Genomic DNA, 23,380 nt, shown 5'->3' with positions numbered 1-23,380 from the left:
GGAAGATGCCTCTCCCAGCACAGACCAGCAGCCTTTTTTTTTGGATCCTTTTTCATGTCCCCATGCTCCATAATAACATTCAGGCCAGCCTCTCTTCTCTCTTAAGTCACAAAATGTTTCTAATTATCTATGCAAAGTGAGGCTTTTCTTGTAAAAACTGTCCAGCAAATGTAAGTGCAAGAAGATGGGTAAGGTGAATCCAGTTCACCTGCTCCTAGGACGCAGGCAGACTTTCTTTCCTATAACCACTCACTTCATTCATTCATTCAGTTCATATTTGATTCACTTTTTCATTCAATTAGCCAGTTGTTAATTCTTTCAGACTTTTTGGCTAGGTCAGAGCTTAGATTGCAGGCACAGTGGAGGCTGGCACTGGTATGTACTCACCCCTACCACTCCCACCTATGTCCTCGGCGTGTCTTGGACATAACATGAAATGCTTAGAGAAAAAAATCCAACAATTAGTTGGCTCAGTTTAGCAAACTATAGACTGTGAGCTAAGAATAATTTTTATATTTTCAAATGGTTGGGAAAAGTCAAGAGAAGACCAGTAATTCTTGACATGTGAAAATTATCAGAAATTCAAGATTCAGCTTTTTGGAACACTGCCCCACCCACCCGTTGATGTATCATCTGAGGTTGCTTCATGCTGCAATGGCAGAGTTGAATAGTTTTTACCAGGACCATTGTCTGCAAAACCTAAAATATGTATTACCTGGCCATGTGCAGAAAAACCTTACCAATCCCTGAGCTAGCTCATTCCCTGCTTTCTTTAACAGAGCAGGAACATACTTGAACCACACCCATGGTTCAGGCATAGGCAGCCTTGTCACTTGCTACTTACCCTTTGTTCACTGTGCCTCAGTCATCCTGCCCAAGGTCACCTCCTGCCCCGCATCTTTGCACCTCCTATTCTGCTTGCATGCAGAGCTATTCATATTCTTTCTCCACATCAACTTTATTAGTTCTTTTATTTCAGATTTTATATCAAATACAACTTTATCAGAGAAGACTTCATAACTTAGTGTCATTATTTAATTAATATCCTTACACTAGCCTTTAAGATTTCCGAAAGCAAAAGCAATGACTGTTCATTTTGTCTTTGCACCCAGGTGCTCAAAAAGGGCCGGTGTGCCGCAGTGAGTGCCAGTTTGAATGAAGGAAGCATGCGTGGCCTGAAGCCTCACCGTGTTCCAGGCGTCCAGTTAAGTGCTCTGCACATAATATCACACATTGCGCTCCACGATAAGGTATTCATCTCATTTTACAGATGGAGAAAATAAGGATACTTTCTAGAATTTGGCAGAGTTCTGTCTGGCAGATAGAAACTAGTTCTATTTGACTCCAAATCTCTCATCTCATTCTTATGACTATTTTACAGATAAGGAAATTGTGTGTAAGGCATCATGATTCAAATCAATTCTCACTGGGAAAGAAAAATGCCATAGAAAACATTTTATTCTATACACAAAAAGGTTTTCTCAGCATGTTTTATCAACATAATCATCGTCACATTATCATCATTAAGACATGAAAGAGGAGCGTACAATGGAGAGGCTCTCCTTCCCTCCTCAGTCACTCAAGAACGTGATGGTAAATGGGGTTTTAAGCTGTGTTTTGCTCTACGTTTAATCGTGTTTCCTTTCTTGAATAATCACAAGATGCTACAGTGTTAGAAAGAATATTAGAGAGAATCTAGCTCAGCCAGTTTCCTCGTGACACCCAGAAGTCTGAGATCACTTCCCCTGGTCGTAAAGTGTGGGTTGATGTAGATTCCCAGGACAGACCTCCTCCTGCAGTGTTTGTTCCCAGGACCTCTCCTCCACTCTGCTATTCTAAAAGCACAAAAGAAAATCTCTCCAACGCTTTCTATAATTGAGAATCAATTGCCCATTTGCAACTTCATCATGTCGTATTTTGAGATTTGAGATTGTAAATGCATTTTCATGCATGTTCATTCAATGATGCCCCCACACTTACCCTGTTGCCATGTTAGATTTTGGAGCGCTGAACATATAAAATCAAGAAAACAAATTTTCCCATGTCACTCTTTGGAAAATGTTCATGCCTCATAAATATTGGAATGTGGATTTCATTGTAAGTCAGTCTATGTTGGGTGCCCACTCTTTTCTGAACTCACACCTCCCTGTTACCCTTTGTTCAAGTGAAGTTTAGAAGGGTTAAATGTTATATTATCAACAATTTGATGACATTAAAAATGAATATGAACAGAGATCAATAATTCAGCATGTAGTTTCAGAGTGTCCCTTAGCTTTCATTAGAGTTAGAAGCTGATAATGATGACAGCTACGATGACGAAAACAATAGACGTTTAGGAGCTATTTTACATTTGGCAAAGCCCCTTCATCATGAATTTTCTCATGAAATATTCACAACTTTTCTTGTTAGTATCATTCAGTATTATTACTGCCTTATGCAAATGAAGAAATAGAGCTACAGAAAGTTTGTAGGAATTTCCGCAAATCATATCATAAATACATGATAGAGCTAGGGAAATTATTCTTTTGTCTTCTAAGGAATAGAGGGAATTTCTATGTCACCAAACATATCTTTTCATCTTTTCTCTAATTCCTAAAATTGCAGTAATATGAAGAAAATCTATAAAAGAAAAATTCCAGTGAAAGATTAAAATACTGGAGTCAACTCACGTTGGAGCAAAAATCAGTGGCTGCGTATTTGCCTGAGAGGGTCCAGCTCCTGCTGCGGTCTCACGTCATAGTTCATCATGCCTCCCTTGCTGTCCCTAGAAGGTCCCAGTTTGGACAACAGTCGTGTACTCATGTGATCTCCCCAGAGACAAAGGACTGAGCAGGCTTGCATGGGGGTCAAGGAAGGAAAGGACAGGAGAGGTGACCAAGAGCAGGGGCCCAGGGTCACCTTCTCCCCAAAAGCTGACTCTGAAGTGGTGAAGGCACAAGATGCATTCTGCAGCAGCCACTGACTTGGTGATGTGTATCTTGACAGGACTTGGTGTTTACACAGCATCCAGGAGCTCTCCATCTAAGCCCCCTTTGGACAGCCTCCATGTGAGCATCTCCCATCTCCCCAGTACCCTGCCGGCCCCTCCACACTGCCCTGTCCATCTCCAGCCATTCTCAGCTTTGCTAACATTTCATGAAAAAACACCTTCTTTCTCTTTGAGCCATGGTCTTTTTCCTTAATTATACCAGAGCACCTCTCAGGTCAACTAGTCTAAGCATGTCCTACAGACATCCCAGCCTTCTTTCAGCATCACTTGTGGAGAATCTGCAGCCAAAGTCAGTGTCCAACAGAGACCCTACGTCTGGCCCTGTCAAGCAAGATCACATTTCTCCCCGACTCTCAGGAAAGGCCCACATGGATCCCACAGAATTCCAGAATCCTCAGCCCTCATTTCCTGGATTCCAAAGACCCACCAACCCAATCACCCAAATTTTTCTCCGCAGCTTTGCACGTGCAGCTCAGGTGTGTGTTTCTCTCTCTGTGTGTGTGTGTGTGTGTGTGTGTGTATGCATGTGCACCCATGCATGTGTGTATGGGAGTTGGGGAATAAAATAAAAACCTCAGATAACACATTCTGAAGTCATCCCTTCACCATCATCTCTCATATGTTTTTGTTTTTCGGCTAAAAGTGACAACATGTTTACTATTACTCTGAGCCCCACATGGCAAGAGAAAGGCTCATTTCCTACATTCCTCCTTGCACATTCTTCTTAGGAAACACTAATGTACATACTTTTCACCAAAAAAGAATCAACTGTGCCTTCCTAAAGTACACTTGGTGCCTGCAAGTGAATGCATTCAAATCTTAAATACATGGAAGTATAGAAAAGGATTTCTGTATACTTCTTGAATATGTTTATATTCTAACATGGGAAACAGATGTGAATATAAAGAGAGGAGATGTGTTTCCACAAAGCCAAAAGTATGTGAGAAATGTTTAAAATGGTCACAAAACTGCTCGTATAATCCCCGACAGAGGAGTTCAGGCCGGCACTTCTCTTCGGCCCACTTTCTGTATTACTCTGGCGGCCGTATTGATTTGATTTTTCGAGTCTTCATGCCCTGACCAAGGTCCTGCCTTCTGAATGGGCATCATTAGGGCTTCTTGGTTTGTTTCTCTTGAGGCAGAGGTTTTATGACCTTGAAGATATCAGTTTTCATTTAAGTGGAGGATTTAGAGATGCCAGGCTAAGGCATTATTTGCCTGAATTTTAACTTAATACACAAATAAGTTCTGAATTTCTGCTTGGAAACAGGAAAAGGGTCATTTAAACAATTTAAATATTATTAACTTGCTTAGGAAAAGGAGAAAAAAACCCTCAAACTATAATGGCATCTACAGCTGACAGGATAGATTTATGGAAGTTTTTATTCCATGGTAGAAATATATCTACAGATGCCCCATGGTAAAATTAGGTAGGCTTATGGCACTTAGAAAACTGAAATCTAGAAACACATGGAATGAGTAAGATGATATTTCCAGCAATCAATGCATTCTATAAAGTGATTGGAGAGAGCTTCCTCTACACAACAATTTTGGACTTGAGGTTCCAATTCAGTGTTTCTTGCCCTAAATTATAGTAAAGGCTAAATCTCATTATGACAAACCGTAATAGATCATCAAAATTCTTGAGTTAGACCTAGAAATCTGTTGCGTTATGCGCCTTGATCTAAATGTGACTGGGACTTGGAAACCTTGTTATACTGAAAAGTCTGGCTATACAGATATTTGGCTGATGTATTCAGTGATTCTCATTCCTAGAGCAGGAAAGGGAATGAAGTATAAAAGTTTCAGATTGTTTGGTGAGCCGGATCAGATCACAAAGTTGGTCATGAGTCCAGGATGGGGGCACTGGCAGCTCCTAGGAAGCTGCTGTAACACCTGTTTACTGCTCATCCAGCAAGCAAACAAGCTTCGAGAACTCTTAGAGCTCCCTGGGTGGATTTGGTCCCTGAGGCTGACTGTGTTTCTCATGGACGTGGGACTCAGGACTGGATGATCGCAGCCTAGCCTGAGCAGAGCATAGATTCTTCTAGGTCGCCAGAGCTGTGGACTGACAAACTTCCCCCAGGCAGGGCAGGTGCGGGTGTCCATTCAGCACCCAGCTGGCCACTCATTGTCATACAAAAGAGTTCTTCATGCGTGGCCATTATATAGGTCTACTTAAGATTTCAGTGCAGGAGGACTAGCTACAAATGAAACTGCTAAAATAGTCTCCTGAAATAAAAGATTACGCTGATACCTGATGTATTAGTCTGTTTTCACACTGCTGGAAAGAACTACCTGAGACTGGGTAATTTATAAAGGAAAGAGGTTTAATTGACTCACAGTTCCACATGGCTGGGGAGGCCTCAGGAAATTTACAATTATGGCAGAAGGTGAAGGGGAAGCAAGACATGTCTTATATGGTGGCAGAAGACAGAGAAAGCAAGCGGGGTATGTGCCACACTTTTAAACCATCTTGTGAGAACTCACTCACTATCACGAGAACAGCAAGGGGGAAATCTGCCCCCAAGATTCAATCTCCTTCCACCAGGTTCCTCCCCAGACACATGGGGATTACAATTAAACATGAGATTTGGATGAGGACACACAGCCAAACCATATCACCTGTGTTTGAGAAAACACTCTCATCTGAAGGGTAAGATAGTAAAACAACTTTATTTTAAAAAATTAAAAAAGAAACAGAAGCTAGCATTTTAGAACCCAATACTTTCTTCCTTTTTGATGATAGACTGCCAAATTCCTTTGGGCAAGCTCAGAAAAAGAAAACAAAAATATATGAATAGGGCAATTTCCTCTAGATGTGTAGCTTAGCGTACTCATCTTATATGGAAAAAATATCAGCTTTACTCTTCATCCACTAGAGAACTAGCAAAAGAATGCATTCCTATGGGAGTTTGTACTCTAAGAAGTCTTTCCATATGCGACAGAAGGGGAAGAAATATCCTTTCACACACGTGCCACTGAGCAGTCTGTTCTTTTAATTTGGCCAAATGTTGTCTAGGCTCTTCTTGGAGTCTCATTCACGGAGACATTTATTCCCTCATCTTACCCTTATTTTAAGGTATATTGAGAAATTAATAGGATGTGTGAACTGTCTTTTGTAGTTCATGTTAATATAGTTCTGCCTGAGACTCCTAAGAGGAGCTGTCTGAGAGCTTTCTAATATCAGAAAAGTTATCTGAAGTTAGGAAATAGGCAAAGAAGATTAGTAAGTATTTTCTCAGTGCAGAGCTGGTTTTGCGTCCTTGATTGACTTTTTGTTGACTGAGCTATTTTACAGCTTCGTTAGGGGCAAAGTTATAGATTTTCATCAGGTAGAGATGCAAATAATTACCATCCACTGGGGGAAACCTCCTCCCAAATATGGTTTATGACCTCACAAAATATCAATCAATTGTGTCTCTCACCTAAGCAATCTTTTCCTAATATCCTCATATTAAACTGTCCATAAATATCCAGCTTCTCAAATTCTCCTTTGAACCCCTATTAACATCTTAGTGGCTTCCTCACTAATTAATGAGCTGAATAGAACTTGGACATTATGTTCATATTTGTGTGAGGGTTGTGTTTTTGAACCTTTTGAAAATTAGACAATAGCTCTAGGAAATAACATGGTCCGGGGCCTAGAAATTTTCTTTGAACATTTTACATACTTCTCTGACTAGCATTCCATTTTTGTACCTATTCTCTACCCGTGGAGCTTTTCTGAGAAGGATTCAATAACTATCACTCTTCCCAAGAAAAATGTACAACTCTCTCTGCACATGCCAGTGCCATCTGGAAGGAGATCGGACTCCACAGCAAACAGGATGAGGCAAAGGAAGTCCAGTGGATATTCCCTCATTTAGGAACTCTGACAGCAGGATGTGGAGGTGCCAATCAGAGTCAGATGCTGCTCATGACTGTGATAACAGCTGCCACTCAGAAGTCTTGCGCCCCACCCTGTGGTCCTCTCAGTCCCTCTAATCAGATCCATCCGCCTAGAATGACTTGTGTCTGCTTCATTCACAGGGGCAAGTAAAGTCTCTGCTGAGGTTTTACCTACCTGCCCCTTTCGCATTGGGAGCTTTGCCCTCCCTGTCCAGGTGCTGTCTTCGCTCCAGCCTCGTATCTGTCCCCAAGAGACCTGCTTTGTCTCAGAATGCCACAGGGCTATTAGCACAACTCTTTCTGATGGTTATTCGTGATAATTTGTACCTCTGGCCTCACCACTATCTACAAAAATGCACTTCATGCCTCATTATCTGTTCCTGTCTTCTCCGGTTTTCCTTTTCTGGGCACTGTACTCGCTCTTTGGGTACCAAGACTGCTTGGAATCCTCTCTTTTTGTATTGTTGAGTAATTCATCTCTTCTTTTCCAGTGCAAGTCTTGAGGATTTCAACTTAGAAAATAGGCCACTAAGGTATTTTGCTAAGCAAAAGAATTATAGACTCCAAGAAATGTCAATTCTCTAGGAATTCGAAATAGCCATAATCAGTGTTTCTATCAGTCTGAATGGCATGATTTTTAGTGTTCACCCTACACTAGCAAAGGAAGCTGCATGGGAGGTGGCACCAGCCACTGAGGAAGTATCCTGGAGAAAGAATGGGTTTAGAGGGACAGTGGGAAATTTGGTTTTGAAACAGTTCCAAGGGAATTTCCCACGGAACATCCACAGTATCATGTGATGACTTCCAAAGCTTGGAGAAGTTTGCTTCCACCCTGAAACTTTCTGTCCTTCTGCAGAGGTGAGGAAAGCCTTTTCCTCATTTTGGCTGTTAGTCATTGGGAAGCATTTGTTTCTTTCTCTCCGATCCCCTCCCATGAGGCTCCGCCATTCTGAATTACACAGAGGTAGCTCCTTTTGATGCTCAGGGTCCTGTAAAACAAGCAGAAGTTACAGACTTGGAGTGTGACCCACGCGGCAGAGCCTGGCCCCCGCCCACAGCAGCCCTCCCCAGGTCTGCACATATGCCCGTCCCAGTTCTGTGTGGTCTTGGCTGCAGCGGCCGAACATAAAGCCTCAGCTGCTGTTTCACAGCTTGGATTTTAAAGAGCTCATAAGGAGAGATTGAAAGCTGAATATCTAATGCTGTCTTCAGATGCAACATCTATCACCCAGTCTGTGTACAGCATTAGTTGCTAGAAAACTGTCCCACACATGCTTTTTATATCACCCTCAACCAAAATGAACCCCTCAAATGTACTAATCAACCAACCGGAGTGTGCAGATCTCTGTTAGGCCAGAGCAAAGCAAAATTGTTCAAGTTCTAAACTTACATGTATGGGAAGTGAAATTAACCTAAACTCTTACCTTTTGTCTTATAAAAATGATGTCCTGGAGGATCTTAGAAATTTCCTGGGAAATATTTAATTACCTATTGTAGAATCTGATAGTTAAATGTAGCTATTATGGAACAGACTTGATACCATTTTGACCAGCCATAGTCCAACCTGCCTAGGAATCTATATTGTGCCAAGAATCTTTCAGAGGTAATTTAGAGTGCACATTTTTTAAAAAACTAATTAGTAGAAAGATAACTGGATAGAAAGCTGGAGATTTAGGTTCTAATTTGGGTTTGCCTCCTAACCAGCCATGCATCCCTGGAAATACGACCCTAGCCTTTCAAGGCGCCAGTTTGATCTGTAAGGCCAAGTAGTTGGATAAAATACTTTCTAAGTGTTTTAGAAAGGTTCTTATAATAAATACTTTCTAAAGGTTCATCAACAACCTTTGCTTACTTCTATGTGTATTTCTAGTTAAGTTCCATTTAAAGAAAAGGAGAAAGATAGAGCTTCTACATTGTCCCTGTTCACTTTTTTCCCCCAATCTAAGGGATTATGGAGGTCTTGTCATCAGGTAGACACTGGCCAAAGCTATTGCTAAGAGCTTCCTCCAAACTTCCTGCTTTTTCAACAAGGTGTTTATCATAATGAATCCATCTCATATTTTTGGCTGCCAGCACCAAAGCATATATTCTCTGTTTCAAGATCTTTGCTACTTTTATGGGGGCCCTGGGAGCCTCGATGGGACGTAGAAGCTACCTCCCATCACCGAAATTTCAGATGTCAGGTACTTGGCTTTGACGACCTCCCATGCACCTTGGGTACAGACTTGGAACTCACCACCAGACAAATATGCCATGGGCTGTAAGTCCTCAGTGGGGCAGAGACCACAGAGATTCCGTGGCGTGGCCATGGTGTGGCTGTGGTGGTTGTAGTTGCTTACTTGGGAAGTGGTGCTGGTGCCAGCATACAGGGACCAGGTAAGTGGCATTGAGGTGCAAGATGCAGCCTGCTGCTGGGCCACAGGGCTGTCTTCAGCAGACCAGTTCTGTGGCCTGATTTAGGGGAACTGTTCCCAGTGAACCACCTGTAAATCTGCTGCTCAAACCCTCTCAGTGATTTTGCAAGCTAATCTGCAACATTTTCATACAATCCCTTTATGCCTAACTCAGCCACACTCAGTTTATTTGTTTTGCAAACTGAGTACTCTGACGTATATAAGTATCACTGGACAAAAAATAGAGGTTTTCTTATTTCAACTGTTTCCAGAGACCAAAGCTAGATAAAATCATAAATCTAAATTTCTGTCTCCTCCACTAATCTATTGGTTGTTTGAGATCAGGGATGGTGCCTTGTTTATTTCTACTGCTTTAGAACTCAATGCCTTATGACGTCTTTCACAGAACAAATTCTCACATGGGAACCGAGCAAAGTGTAATGGATGTTCCCAGGAGCTGCCTATGGGATTCAAGAAAACTGTATGAGAGGAGTAACATTTGGGCTGGAAGCGAAAATACAAGTAAACATATGTCAAATGGGTAAGTATGGAAAGTGCATTCCAGTAGAAAAAAGCAAGTGTAAAAATACAAAATAAGCCATTTAGAGCATAGCAATTAATTTGGTGCTTGAGGACTACAGCAAGGTGTTTCTTTCCCCACCCAAAAGTCTAGCAGTAGAATTACAGTCATGAGTCACTTAATGACAGGGATACATTCTGAGAAATGCCTCTCTCTATGATTTTATCGTAGTGTGCACTTACATAAACTTAAATGGTATAGCCTACTATATACCTAGGCTATGTGGCATAGCCTGTTGCTCTTGGGCTATAAACCTGTTCAGCATGTTACCGTACTGAATACTGTCGGCAATTATAACACAATGGAAAGTATTTGTGTATCTAAATGTAGAAAAGGTACAGTAAAGGTGCAGTACTATGGACCACTGTCCCATAAGATTGTATGTGATGCATTATTGACCAAAGCGAGATATGTGTGCTGCATGACTCTATAGTACTGTCTCATGAAATCAACACAGGTCCGGAGCAGCAGACAGTCAAGAGCACGTTCACAGATCAGAATAGCTCCCACTTTGCCAATCTTAGCTTGAGCTTGAGTGAATTCATTAATTGACTGCTTTAACATATCCAGAGGCAGAATTGGCACATAAAAGTGAGTAGATCAGCCATGGATTGGCCTCTAGTTTATAAATCAGTCTTGCTTACTTGGTTAATGTGAGACTGTCATGAAAGATACAACCTTTCTATTTTGATGATGATAAATTAAGGTTTCCAAACCGGTAAGGAGCAAACTAAGGATAGAGGATAATTTACAAAGAAAATGCCACCTTGTGAGAAATGACCAGCTAGCTCTTCCCTTATGCCATGGTTTGGCTATTTGCAAAATATCCCTTTACTTTGAGTTTTTGTATTTGATGTGGCTAAAAAGTAGGATTTCTTGAATGTGGGCATGGCATGTATGAATAGTAGGGCCAGAAGAAGAGTGTGGAAGCTAGACGTTTGAGGAAAAGCAGCCCCAATTTTGCATGCTTTATATACTGGGCAGGAGTAAAGCTTCCAGGCTGTGAGTGGGGATGAAAGACAAATTAGAAAAATCACTTTGCTTCAACAAACATTATTTGTGTGGACTATGGAGATGTGGGCTCAGCAAGATGACAACAGCTTTATCATGTTCTCCAGGAGGTCACTATATAGTGGGAAAGAGGTGAGGGTCTCAGAATTGCAGGACAAGTCCAACAACAGGTACCAGCATGAGACATGGCAATCTGACTGATCATCCACATAAGAAGAGATTGGGAGGCCAACTGAACCCAATCTGACAGCCTCTCCCTGGCAGGTTGGGCAAGGAGGTGAGCTCTGTAGTTAATATCCAGTTCCACTTCTCATGCCCCTCTTGGTCCTGTGGACCCTCAGCCCAGCACCTCCAAGAGGATGTTCTGGGAGGATGAGGTTGCATCTCACCATCTCCCTGGTCCTGTGGACCCTCAGCCCGGCACCTCCAAGAGGATGTTCTGGGAGGATGAGGTTGCATCTCACCATCTCCCTGGTCCTGTGGACCCTCAGCCCGGCATCTCCAAGAGGATGTTCTGGGAGGATGAGTTTGCATCCCACCATCTCCCTGTGGGTATTCTCCACATCAGTTTCCTCTGATGGTTCAATTGTCAACGGGTGGTCCAGCCGTGTCATCTTTCAGAAGTTGACTGAAGTTCTATACTGGCTGACAGTCAATCCCTCCTCCTTCCCTTTTGGGACAATTTTGGTTTACGGATTTTTTTTTTTTTGAGTGTGAGTTCAATAGTTCTTAAGGCAGAGGAGAGGTAAGAGGGTTCGTCCAGCCTGTCATATGTTTGCATTGCTCATTTCACCCTCACTCCATCCTGGAAAGGCAGGTAATATTATTAATCTAATTTAAAAGATAAGTGTGCCTCTGTGAGTTAGGAAGCTTGCCAAGGCGGCACAGCTGTAAAAGGCAGAGCCAGGCTGGATCCCCCAGCAGCCCCCACTGTGCTTCCTTGTGCAAAGTGGGCTAAGGCCAGGGGGTGTGCAGCAGGGTGCAGCCAGTGTGAGCTCAAGGAGGTTGGTGTGGTTGGTGGGCCTCTAGAAGAACTTTGCAGGGTGAAAGTGTGTCTTAAAGCAGTGGTTCCCATACTTTGCTGAATATTAGAGCTTTTAAAAATCCCCATGCATAGCGACATGCCAGGCCAATTAAATGCGAATTTCTGGCGGCGGGATTCAGACATCCAACATTTCTAAAGCTCCCCAAGTGATTCCACTGCAGCCAGGGTAAAATGCAGATTCAGATTCAGTAGCTGTGAGCTGGGACCTGAGAGTCCACATTTCTTTCTCTCCTTTTTTTTTTTTTTTTCCTGAGAAGGAGTCTGGCTCTGTCACCCAGGCTGGAGTACAGTGGCGTGATCTCGGCTCACCGCAACCTCCACCTCCTGGGTTGGAGCGTTTCTCCTGCCTCAGCCTCCCGAGTAGCTGGGATTACAGGCTCCTGACACCACACCTAGCAAATTTTTGTATTTTTCATGGAGACAGGGTTTTGCCATGTTGGCCAGGCTGGTCTCGAACTCCTGACCTGAGGTAATCCAATCTCCTTGGCCTCCCAAAGTGCTGAGATTACAGGCGTGAGCCGCCGTGCCCGGTGGAGTCTACATTTCTAACAGGCTCCAGCGGATGTGGATACAGCCGGCCCCCAGCCCACATGCTGGAGAGTAAAACCTTAGACATGTGCAAGACCCTTTATTTCAGAGTTAATTTTCGGAAAAACAAGCCTGGTTTCCTTGGAGGAGTCCTTGCTGGGAACGAGTCCGTCCTCAGGTGATGCTGCCTTGCCAGGCCACATCCCTGGTATTGCAGCCACTCTGCCAGATCGGTGGCAGTTGGAGCAGCACCTTCTGCCTGCCCCACCGTTCCTGCCAGGCTCAGCTGAAGTTTTGCCCTACAGTTGGGGGAAGTAAGTATCAGACGTGTGTGCGGTAAGGAAAAATCATTTTACGGGGAAATCTACTTTGACTGAGAGTTAACAAAATCAAGTTGGAAGAGGGGCATTTCAGTTGGAAACTAGGGAACATTTTTCCCCGTGGCACTTTATTAGACAGCGGAATGAGTTTCCCGGGCAGTAGCGGCCCCTTGTTTCATTTAAAAAGACCAATATACAAGAGGTGCTGGCAGAGGGATAGATGAAGTGACCTAAGAGGGTTTCTATTGCTCCAGCTTCTGTCGCCAAATGAAACTCAAACAGCTTTTTCATATCTTAAACAGACCTACATAGAGCAACTATGAAAATTCCATCCATTATAAATACCTCTTTTAGCAGCAGTTCAGAAATATGCCTCTTGGGTCCCATTCATCCTCAGTAGATGGGATTTGGATGGCCAGGTGGGAGAGGACTTGTGGCTGGGGAGAAGGAAGGTAAGGTCTCCCCGCCGCATCTCCGGATCCCCGCCCAAGGAAGTGGGCCTGGAGAAGCAGAGGTAGGGCGGGCAATCACTTCTTCAACTTTTCTTACGGTGTTTTACAAAATGATGCTGCCCTACCTCTCACCAAGTAAACAATGCAAAGCAGGTGACCATTTGCAAACAGGTTTTCCAGGGGCAGCTGAATTCCTCACAAGGCTTCGAGTTGATCACATCCATTTTGTGTCTGATGACCCTGGCCACGCGGGAGGAGCAGGCAGGTGTTTTCTGTCTGGCTAATCCGTGGAACAGGCCGCTTGGAGACAGGCGTGTGTGAAATTGCTTTTCACACCGTTAGGGAGCTGGGATGATCTCTCAACAGCGTCACTGCACGTGAACACTGGCTGGAATATTTTCATTTTAGAAAGGATCGGAGCAAAGTTCTCATTTTTCATCAGAGATACACTGGAGTAGGCGGAAGTCTTTCTGTTCCCCTTAACAAGGTGAGTGAAGAATGCAGGAACAGTGCAAGAAACAGATTAGACTTAAGAAGTAAAGCAACTTCCCTGACCGACTCAGATTTATGGCTTTAATTAGGAAGGCCAACCAGGGTCATAGGAAAAGCAGAGGAATGACAGACCTGGGTTCAAATCTCATTTCTACAACTTGTTAATTGTGATATTTGGGGCAAGAACCTCGAACAGACTTCGTCCAGTGGGAACAGTCATACCATCAAAACCAGTTGGAGTTCAGTGTCGCAGAACTTGTAACAAAGCCTGTTTACTCTCTACAAATGAGTCATTATTCCTCACTGACATGGTTTGGATCTGTGTCCTTGCCCAAATCTCAAGTGGAATTGTAATCCCCAGTGTTAAAGTTGGGGCCTGGTGAGAGGCAAGTGGATCATGGGGGTGGATTTTCCTCTTGGTGCCGTTCTGGTGGTACTGAGTTCTCATGAGATCTGGTTGTTTAAAAGTGTGTGGCCCCTCCCTGCTGTCTCTTGTTCCTGCTCCTCCATGTAAGACACCTGCTCCTGCTTTGCCTTCCACCACGATTGGAAGTTCCCTGAGGCCACCCCAGAAAGAGAAGCCTCTATGCTTCCTGTACAGCCTGCAGAACGATGAGCCAATTAAACTTCTTTATAAAGTACCCACTCTCAGGTATGTCTTTATAGCAGTGTGAGAACAGGTTAATACATTCACTATATGTCCTTTCTTAGCTGAATTCCTAGGGAAAACACCACTGATGAATTATAAAGCTTACCACAAGTTTTGATTCCATGATTAATGCTCATTCTATAGTAGCTGGAGAAATAGCTTAAGATACCAACAAGGCACCCCAAGGTGCCATCAAATTAAGCCTCAGTGAAAATAGTTAAGATGAAGAATAAGAAATATTAGTTATTATCATTTAATCACTTACTATGTAACGTAAGTTCTGAATTAAAGGGTTCTTGGTGGATGTGTTTGTGAAGACAAGGCTGCTTTGATTCTGTGGGAGTTTTAATATTTACATCCATTTCATTATGTAAGATAAAAATCCCTCTAAATTATTACCAAGAAAAATAAATTATGAAGTAATGTATGCAGCAGAAATTCTCACCTCATCCTTGACCTTTAACCTCTGGTTAATGGGGTGAGGGTGGGCCTTTAGGAATGGCCAAGAATGACATGATAATGAGAGACTGGGGCAGGAAACAATTTAAAAACAATTGAATTTACATATAGTTAATGAGTATACATTTTAGAATATCCAAGGAACATCTGTTACTATACTCATGGTATATATACACTGGAAAATTAATTTAAAAATAAATCAGAATGGTTTGTTTTTGGATTTAAAATAGATAAACTTGTCCCAATGCCCACTGTGTTAAACATCCAACAGTCTTTCAGGATGCCATGTGATCCCAGCAGGGCCACAGAGATGATTCACACATGAAATCTACCCTCAGCTCCTTCCAGACCATCGAGGTTAGACGATGGGAGTGTGAGTCCACTGTGATGTTAGACACACAGTGACCAGGGCCGCAGACCGGTTGAGCCCATTTCTGTGGAAGGGAAGAGGAGAACGGCTCATTTAGAACTACAGAGGAAAGCCAAGGTTCAAGGAGAAGAGGCATTTGAACTGTATCTTCATCTTTTATTAGGATTCGAATCCAGAATGAAAAGAAAGGAAATGTTTAGCCTGAGCTAAGGATTGGGGCAAGAGTGTAAGCTGCCAGAAGGGGAAACAGTAGGAACTTGAGTTAGGATGAGTTGTGAACAGGTGTTGGCTTTCAATGCCTAGCTGGAGAGCTAGGCCGTTACTTCCTGGGTCCTGGGGAGCAGGTGAAGTACAGGAGGGTAAGGACGGTGTTGACAGAAATCTGAGTCTGTTAGCATTTAGTGGGGCACAATGGAACGTCCTGCAGCAGGGAGGCTGGGAGAAGTATTGTGACTGTCCCCATGGAGTAACAGCTCTCTACCCTGACTCAGACAACAGATGCTGAATAACAAGGGTAGTGGGTAGGCTTCTTAGACCTGCTAGAACCAGATCCTGTTATTGGTATGGATCATTCAGCACATGCAGAGCCAGTCCTAGAAAGGGCCTCAGATAGTTCTCCACATTGAAAGGGACACATTTTACCCCCTGAAACTGAACAGGCCATGCTTTCTGTAACAGCGTCATCAAAAAGATATTCGGTAAAAAATGCACTCAGCAGGTTTAGATGCATTTGTCAAGTCTGGAGTTTTTCAGGTGCAATACAATCTAAGAATAAAAGCAGGATCAACAAATCCAATAAGAATGCTTCTTTAAGGTCTCAGGAGGTGAATGATGAGACTAGGTTTGAGTCTTCAGGAAATTCAGAAAACAGAAAGAAGGAGACTAGTGATTATCAATCTACCTACACATCAGTGCATTGAATATATTATCTCTAATCTTCATAAAAATGCAAAATCAATTATGACTCATTCTACAGTTGTGGAAATTGTAGTTTAGAGTAAACAATTAGTCAAAGGCCACAGGACTCACAAATGTTGAAACTGAAGCTTGACTTTTGGTCAGACTGACTCTTAAAAATCTCTCCACTGGAACCCCTTATTTCAAGGAGATTAGAATGTTCCTCAACTTCTGTTTATGGAGATCATTAGGACACGCAAAAATATAAAATTCATGACAGTGCAGTCTACACAAGAGCATTGAGGGTAGTATTTGAAATAAAGTTCTGCGATTTTAAAATTCCTTCTTTCCATGTTTCTCCCCTGCTCCTACTAGCAGTGTTCTTATTAGAGAAAGTCAGAGAGAAAAGCATTAGTCATAGCTTAGTTTTGCATTTCAAAATTTAGCTGTGATTATCAGGAGCCAAAATTTGGAGAAATTAGCATCCAGTTTATCTCCAAATTACAGGATTTCATAGACCGTGAGCCGAACTGGTCCCCTTTGTCTTCTATATACCAATTCTATCCCAGGGAAGGGAAATCAAAAGTCTTCATGGATTAGTTGTACATGTAAGATTTGTTCCAAAGAGTTGGAGAGAAGCAAGTGTTAGATGTGGGTGTGGGTTTCCTGATCCCAATGCTAACTTCCAACTCTTCCTAGAAAGGGAGAAGTTGGAGAAGTTAGGGATAGAAACTTCCTTAATGTGAAGAAGTCCAAAAGCCAGAGAACTTATGCTGGCTTTTTTAAGCACCTAGCCTAGAGATTATTAGGGACTACTTGAAATCTTGTTGAGATTAACATCTGCCTTCCCTTTCTCTTAATGCTAGGAGAAATATTTTGATTTCACAGAAACCTCTAAATGGATACAATGAGAAATAAGAGAATAGGGCTGGGGGTTTCAGGTAGCTCTTCACAAAGTCTAATTGTTGGTCAGGTACATTTTCTGGGAGGAAGAAACATTTGCATGTGGTGTAAATAAAATTGTCCTAGCCCACCTGGGTTATTAGATTTCTTAGATTTCTTTTTTTGTTTCTTTTTTTTCTTTTTTTCTTTTTTTTAAATTGAGATAGAATCTCACACTGTCGCCCTGGCTGGAGTGCAATGGTGTGATCTCGGCTCACTGCAACCTCCTCCTCCTGGGTTCAAGGGATTCTCCTGCCTCAGCCTCCCAAGTAGCTGGGATTACAGGCACCTGCCACCATACCCAATTAATTTTTTTTTGTATTTTTAGTAGAGATGGGGTTTCCCCACATTGGCCAGGCTGGTCTCGAACTCCTGACCTCGTGATTCACCTGCCTCGACCTCTCAAAGTGCTGGGATTACAGGGGTGAGCCACCGCTCCTGGCCAGTTATTAGATTTCTTAGACAAACAATCTTGACTTCTCTGGGTCTCAGGTGACTTACCCATGTGCTACTGGGCAGCTACGTGAAGATAGGAGTCTTGTTCCAAGTTTTGTCTGAAGTTATTTCCCTATCTAGGATCCTGTGAGAAGGGTCTAAAAGAAATATGAATATGTACCAGAGTGGAGAGTGAGTATCCCTCTGTTATGGTTCTGTTTTTCAGTTTACCTGAAGGGAGAATGGTAAGGTCAATCAAGGGATGGGGATGGTCGAGGGAAAACCTGCATGGTAGTTCCCTAAAAAACTCCGCATCCTTCAGTAGCATCCTCCCTCACCTGGGGCAGCGGGCTGTAACCACGGACCTTAACAGATCCACCTTGAGCCCCAGGCCTGTCTTCTCACGCCTTGAGTCTCTCCCCTGCTTTGAATGGCCTCCATGTCCATCTCTTTTCTGCCCCAAGGCCTCCCCCGGCTGCTTTCTTTCCTCCTTCCCCCAGGCCTCACACATTGCTGGATGGTCACTTCCCAGTGTGTCCAAGGTCCCGGCTCTGGTCATCCTCGTTCAGCCTTCACAGTGAGGCCCAGGGCCTGGTTCCAACCAAAGTGGCAGGTTCTCATCTTGTTGAAAGGAGCGTCAGAAATTTAGCTCCAAAGGATGGAGACGAAATTTGGATTTCTATAGTCCAGATATTAGAATGACTTTGTGATTACCTCAGGGAGGTTGTTGGACCTGACTGGAAACAGTTGTTTCTCGCCTCATCATGAGCTACTCCCCTTGCTAAATCCTCAATGGCAGACCTTCTTCTGGTTCAGTCCCAGGCTGCGTGCCCTGCGTGTGGGCTCTCATGCTGCCTGACACTTAACGTTCTGCCCAACCTGCTGTTCCTTGTGAGGTCAAACGTGATTATTTCAGTGCAGGCAGTGCTGAAATTCCTCTTTGAAATTCCTGATCCTCATCACATGATCACTGAATGCAGAGCTCCTGTGAGTCTACCCACAGAGGACGTCAGGGGAAGCCAGCACCTTCTCCTGTGCGAGACAGCACTGACCTGTGATGGGTGGGGGGAGAAGGAGGGCATGTGAGCAAACGTGCACAGCAGAGCTCCAGGATCCTTTGAGAAAGCAGGACTCGAAAGCCCAACCTTACTCCCAAGGCTCAGTTATTAAAACTTAACTGACTGTCTTAGCATGGTGCTTGGTACAGTGAAAGTCAGCCCAGAGTGGCTCTGACCAAGGCTTCCTGGAAGAAGAGTCTGATGAGCCTCCCGAAATAAAAGCATCATGGGATATAGAGAGACAACCAGTGGGCCAATCCCACGGAGAATCTGCCATTACAAGGACAATGTAGATTGCCATCTAGGAGGAGGTAAGTGCCCAAACCTTCTCAGAAGCAGCTCTCCTGGGAGCCCAGGCTGGTGTTGGTGTGGTATGCATGTGGAGGTAGCTTCTGTGGGCAAGATTGTTCTCTGTCTCTACTTGAAGAGAACCACAGTGTCTGGTCCCATAAAGTATGGCTTAGAGCAGGAGTTTGGGGTTCAGATGCATCCACCCCCTGATGCCTTGGAAGGAACTGGCTTTGGAGGTCAGGACGATTCCTCTACTGCACGGGGTGTTTCTGGTTTCCAGCCCCAACAATGAGATGGGAGCTTCCAGAGCGAACTTTGAACACTAAAAATCACCCACGAGCTTCTGGAGATTTTGCTAGGAAAGGTGGCCCTGCAGAAGCGGCGCTGCGTCCTAGAGTCTCACGGTATTTGATAACAATGTTCAAAGTGGCTGTGATTTATTTCCATGCTGGTTTGGAGCCAGCAGGACACATTGTTTACACGCACGTTGTTCTTGAGCTTCTGAAGTATCTTCAGGGACAGCCTCATTGCTCTCCCGTGCAGAGGAGGCCTGCAAACACGGGGACTAAGCCATTATCATTTTCCCACCTCTGCATTCTAGAACATATCTGATGATCAGAAACACAAATTTCATTCTGCTTGCTCCATAAACACCTGCCTGTTAACTTTTTCCTTCTGGCATCTTTGGAAAAAGCTCATCTGAGATCATCTACACTTTGCCCCTTGATGTCCCAGGCTTTCAGAGACCACCTGGATTTTCTGTATATCATGTTCTATTCACATGATTATCAGTGTACATCTCAGATAATCTGCCTTAATTTTAATTTTAACATCCCACAACTTTCTGTGTGCAATCTGTAATCAATGTGGTACCTCTCTGAGACCTTTGTGCTAAAGTACATTTGCAGGTGTTATTCGACCAAGAGGTTATATACATTTACATGATATATTTTACTGTATATGTTCACATATATATGATATTTGTGTTTTTTATTGTAAAGATTTCGAACATGCCTATTAAACATAGACACCATAGATCTTCATTTCAGAAATATCATCTTTGGCCTAAAAGTAAAAATTTAAGGTATACTGATTTAAAGAACATAGTTCTTTTTATATGTAGTGGCTTTGAATATATCATATTTAGTGGATTGGGTGATAATGATCAAATTTTTAAAATAGGGAAACTGAGGCCTAAAGCAATGAAGGGACTGGGTCAACGTCATATCCCTAAAGCAGTACAGAGCCCGAATTTGAATCCAGCTCTCAGATTTCTTCATTAGACTCTTTCCAAGAAATAACACTTCTAACCTAATAAGTGAACATTTAGGTGGTAGGCAGCACTTCCCAGTTTACTTGGCGTTCCTGAAATCCTCCTTTAAGCTTAACAACAAAGTGAACAGTGCTGTTCTTAATCCCGACAAGGAGGAACTTTTTGCTGAGGGCCACACAGCCAGGAACCAGGACAGCCAAGACTAGCGTCCATTTATTTTGACCACATGCACTTTGGTTTGGTTTGATGTTTGTTTATTGCTTTTTTCTTTGTTATTTTCCTCACTGTCTCTCTCTTCCCTCCTCATGCCCTTCCTCTCTCGGAGGTCACTTGTTTACCTCATCCCAGTATCCTCCAGAAAATGAGGAGGAGATACACGTTTTCCCACTCCATGTCCACAGGAGGATCTTTTTCCAATAGCATAATAATTATGACTTAATTCTTTCTTCCCCAATTGTAAAAGTAATATGTGCTCATTTTGTAGGAAATTTAGAAAATACCAAAAAGTCTAAAGAAGAAAATACAAATCCCATTATCTCATCATCCCCAAATAACCACTAGTAATCTCTATACATTCGCTTATTTATATATGTCCGTGTCTCTTGTCATCTGTTTCTATCTATCTAGCCATCCTATCCTCTATTTACGTATCTTTTATTCATGTTTCTACATCTCCATAATTGTTTTTACAAATCTCAGATCATAATAAATATGTGTTTTATTCATAAATGTGTAACGAATAGTGGCCTGTGTAAAAAATAGTTTTCAGAATAGCTACTGATATGATTTACTCAATCAATTCTTTTGTTGGCTGTGTCTGTTGTGTCCATTTTTTTTCCTTCTGTGATAAATAACATTGCAATGAACAACCTTACAAGATGCCCTTTCTACTCCCTCAAGACTCAGGTATCTTCTCAGGTGGCTTATGAGTTAGCTTTTCTTTCTAACACAGGGGAAGTATGTGTGGTGCTGGGGCCTCGGTGAGGGCTTCAAGGGCAGCGTTGGCGGCAGAGAGACCATTGGATGCTCTGCGGCCCACAGCTTTGCTGGTTTTGATGAGCTCTTGCCCCATCAACTTCCTAAAAGCAGTTACCAAAGTCCCTGTTAGAATACCAAATGGGCAAGGACTTGGTGTTAGGGAATGAGTTCCTCTGCTTTTGACTCCAGTTAGATAAAAGGGCAGGTTCTGATTCCCCCGGGGGCATAAGCGTCAGAAGCTGAAAGCTGGAGACCAGAATCCAGAGCCTTTTGGACAGTATCGATTCACCCTTGGGAAGGCAATATAACTGATACTTCAAGTTTATTTATTGTGTGCTTAGCCTAGTGTGATAAGTCTTGTTTCCTCATTCAACAAATATTTCTAAGTACCTGCCTCTGCGAGGCATCCTGCTGGTTGCCTGATATTGTACTAAGCCCTCCCTGACTTTCGTTATGTCCTCTATCATTCACAGCAATTCTGACAGAGAAGTTCTCTAACACTCAGTGTTTTCAGGGTAAGAAAACAGAGGCTTAGCAATGTCAAGGAATGTGCTCCCCTGATGACACAGCTCATAAGGAGTAAAGCTGGGATATGAACCAGGCTTATCTTCCTAGAGGCTTCTCAAGTTAGCACTGTTCATTTTGGGCTGGATGATTCTTTGGGGGGTGTGTGCATGTGTGTGTGTGTGTGTGTGTGTGTATGCGTGAGAGAGAGAGAGAGAGATAAAAAGAGAGAGAGGGAGCTGCTCTGTGCCTTGTAGGGTATGTAACAGTCTTCTTGGCCTCTACTCACTGGATATCTGCAGGAGCTTGTCCCCGTCCCCGGTTGTGACAACCAAAAACATCCCTGGGGGCTGAACCACCCCAGTTGAGAACCACTGGTCCAACTCTTTATCCCTGCTTTAACCACCATGCAGTGTTTCATCTCATGGGCAAACAAATTTTATCTAATACATGCAGTTTGGTAGAAAATAGTTTCTTGTTGTCTTCCTGGGAGGAGGAGTGGCAGAAGGTGGAAACATGTTTACTGGCCTACCTTACCCACAGCAGGGAAGGCAGTTTTTCTTCTCAGTGTGGGTAATTTCATTCCATTTTTCAGAGAAAGCACTTTTTTTTTCTCCCATCAAGTAACATGCTCATCAAAATAAGAATCTTTTTATTAACATTCTGATCATCAGATAATGTATGCGTGCCCATCTCTACGCAACAGATTTCTCCCTTTTCCTTTCCCAAGCTGCCTCCGTGTTTCCCAATCACTTCCTACCTGGCACTAGGGGAAGACAGCAGTGTGTGAAAATGCCGACTCTTACTTCCAAGTTAGTGTGAAGAAGAAGGAAAGTTTACAAGAGTTGAAAAAGTCAATCCCTGAAATTAAATGGCAATTGCTTCTCCTTAGTTGTCCAGAGAAGAACCAGAAGTTGCCAAGATTTCTGTCCAAATTGGTCATTAAGGAGGTCTGATGCCACTCGAATATTACCACCAGAAACTGCAAATTTCATTGCTACGTGGGCCTGAAAGCCCCTGTTCTGCATTCAAATATAGCTGCAAGCAGCTGTGATAGAAAATTGGTCATTTACCAGTGCTTAATGACTAATGCCCTACCCAATCTGAATTACCAAGATTTATGACAGAATTGCATTGTGCGGCTGAACTCTCTGCTGTTCTCAAAGAAATCATAAGCATCCGACGTGAGGGAGAGATAGTGTTGTCTGCGCCTGATGGTCGAGGACAAGCATTTACTCTCTACCTTAGAGGGACAGGGCCTGGGCAACCTTCCATCTCCTGACCCGTTTTAGAATGAAGCTGCACATCTCCAGTATTGACCCAAGCAATCATTCCTGAGGGTCATCCTAAACAACCCTGGTTGAAAGGTATCTATGGTCAACTCCAACTTGAGCTTGCCAAGGCAAAGAGATTCACTTTCCTTATTCAGGCCAGATTCCAGCTCATTTCCAGCCACCATCATCATCAGCATCTTCATCTTCCATAAATGAAAGACATATTTTTAAAGGATAATAGTCTTTTAAACATGTAGACCTGAATGTTTTATTGATTCACTTGTATGTCTCTTTATCTACTCTTTTAATCATCCACTGACATAGTCACTTAGTCTTTATTCCTTATTCGTCAATGAATACGTTCCCCACACTGAATTAGGCTCTGCAGAAGCAGAGATAAGAAAGAGACATTGCCTTCGCATCGCTCAGGGACTGCTGAGAAAATCAGCATGAGCCAGGTGGGCTGCAGTGCATTGTGTGAGGAGCTGATGTGAAGGCGTGTGTGGCCCTCCCTGAACAGTGGGGTTGGGACGGTGGCAGTGTTTTATG

At 43.1% G+C, this 23,380-nt stretch overlaps 2 long non-coding RNA genes across 2 annotated transcripts in view, besides 1 other annotated feature; both read left to right on the top strand.

Annotated features, from left to right (window-relative positions):
• The first annotated feature begins 1,144 nt into the window (after positions 1–1,144).
• Positions 1,145–23,380, top strand: part of LINC00298 (long intergenic non-protein coding RNA 298) — a 54,390-nt gene continuing 32,154 nt past the window's right edge. Inside the window, exons 1-2 of the long non-coding RNA NR_015405.1 lie at positions 1,145–1,250; positions 9,680–9,814. This is a non-coding gene — a long non-coding RNA (long intergenic non-protein coding RNA 298). The remainder of the gene's footprint in view (positions 1,251–9,679; positions 9,815–23,380) is intronic.
• LOC124907727 (uncharacterized) lies at positions 12,366–14,342 on the top strand. The gene is made up of 2 exons (XR_007086197.1): positions 12,366–12,751; positions 13,381–14,342. It is a non-coding gene; the product is annotated as an uncharacterized LOC124907727 (long non-coding RNA).
• Positions 19,135–19,315: a silencer, noted in NCBI's record as "fragment chr2:8098775-8098955 (GRCh37/hg19 assembly coordinates)". NCBI's record gives its function as "represses an EF-1alpha promoter that drives an FKBP-Casp9 reporter gene in an ReSE screen in K562 erythroleukemia cells {active_cell/tissue: K562}" and the evidence as "EXISTENCE:reporter gene assay evidence [ECO:0000049][PMID:32094911]".

This window comes from Homo sapiens, chromosome 2, assembly GCF_000001405.40.
Source record: "Homo sapiens chromosome 2, GRCh38.p14 Primary Assembly".
In the NCBI taxonomy this organism is placed as follows: domain Eukaryota; kingdom Metazoa; phylum Chordata; class Mammalia; order Primates; family Hominidae; genus Homo; species Homo sapiens.
This window is presented reverse-complemented; position numbering and strand designations above follow the sequence as displayed.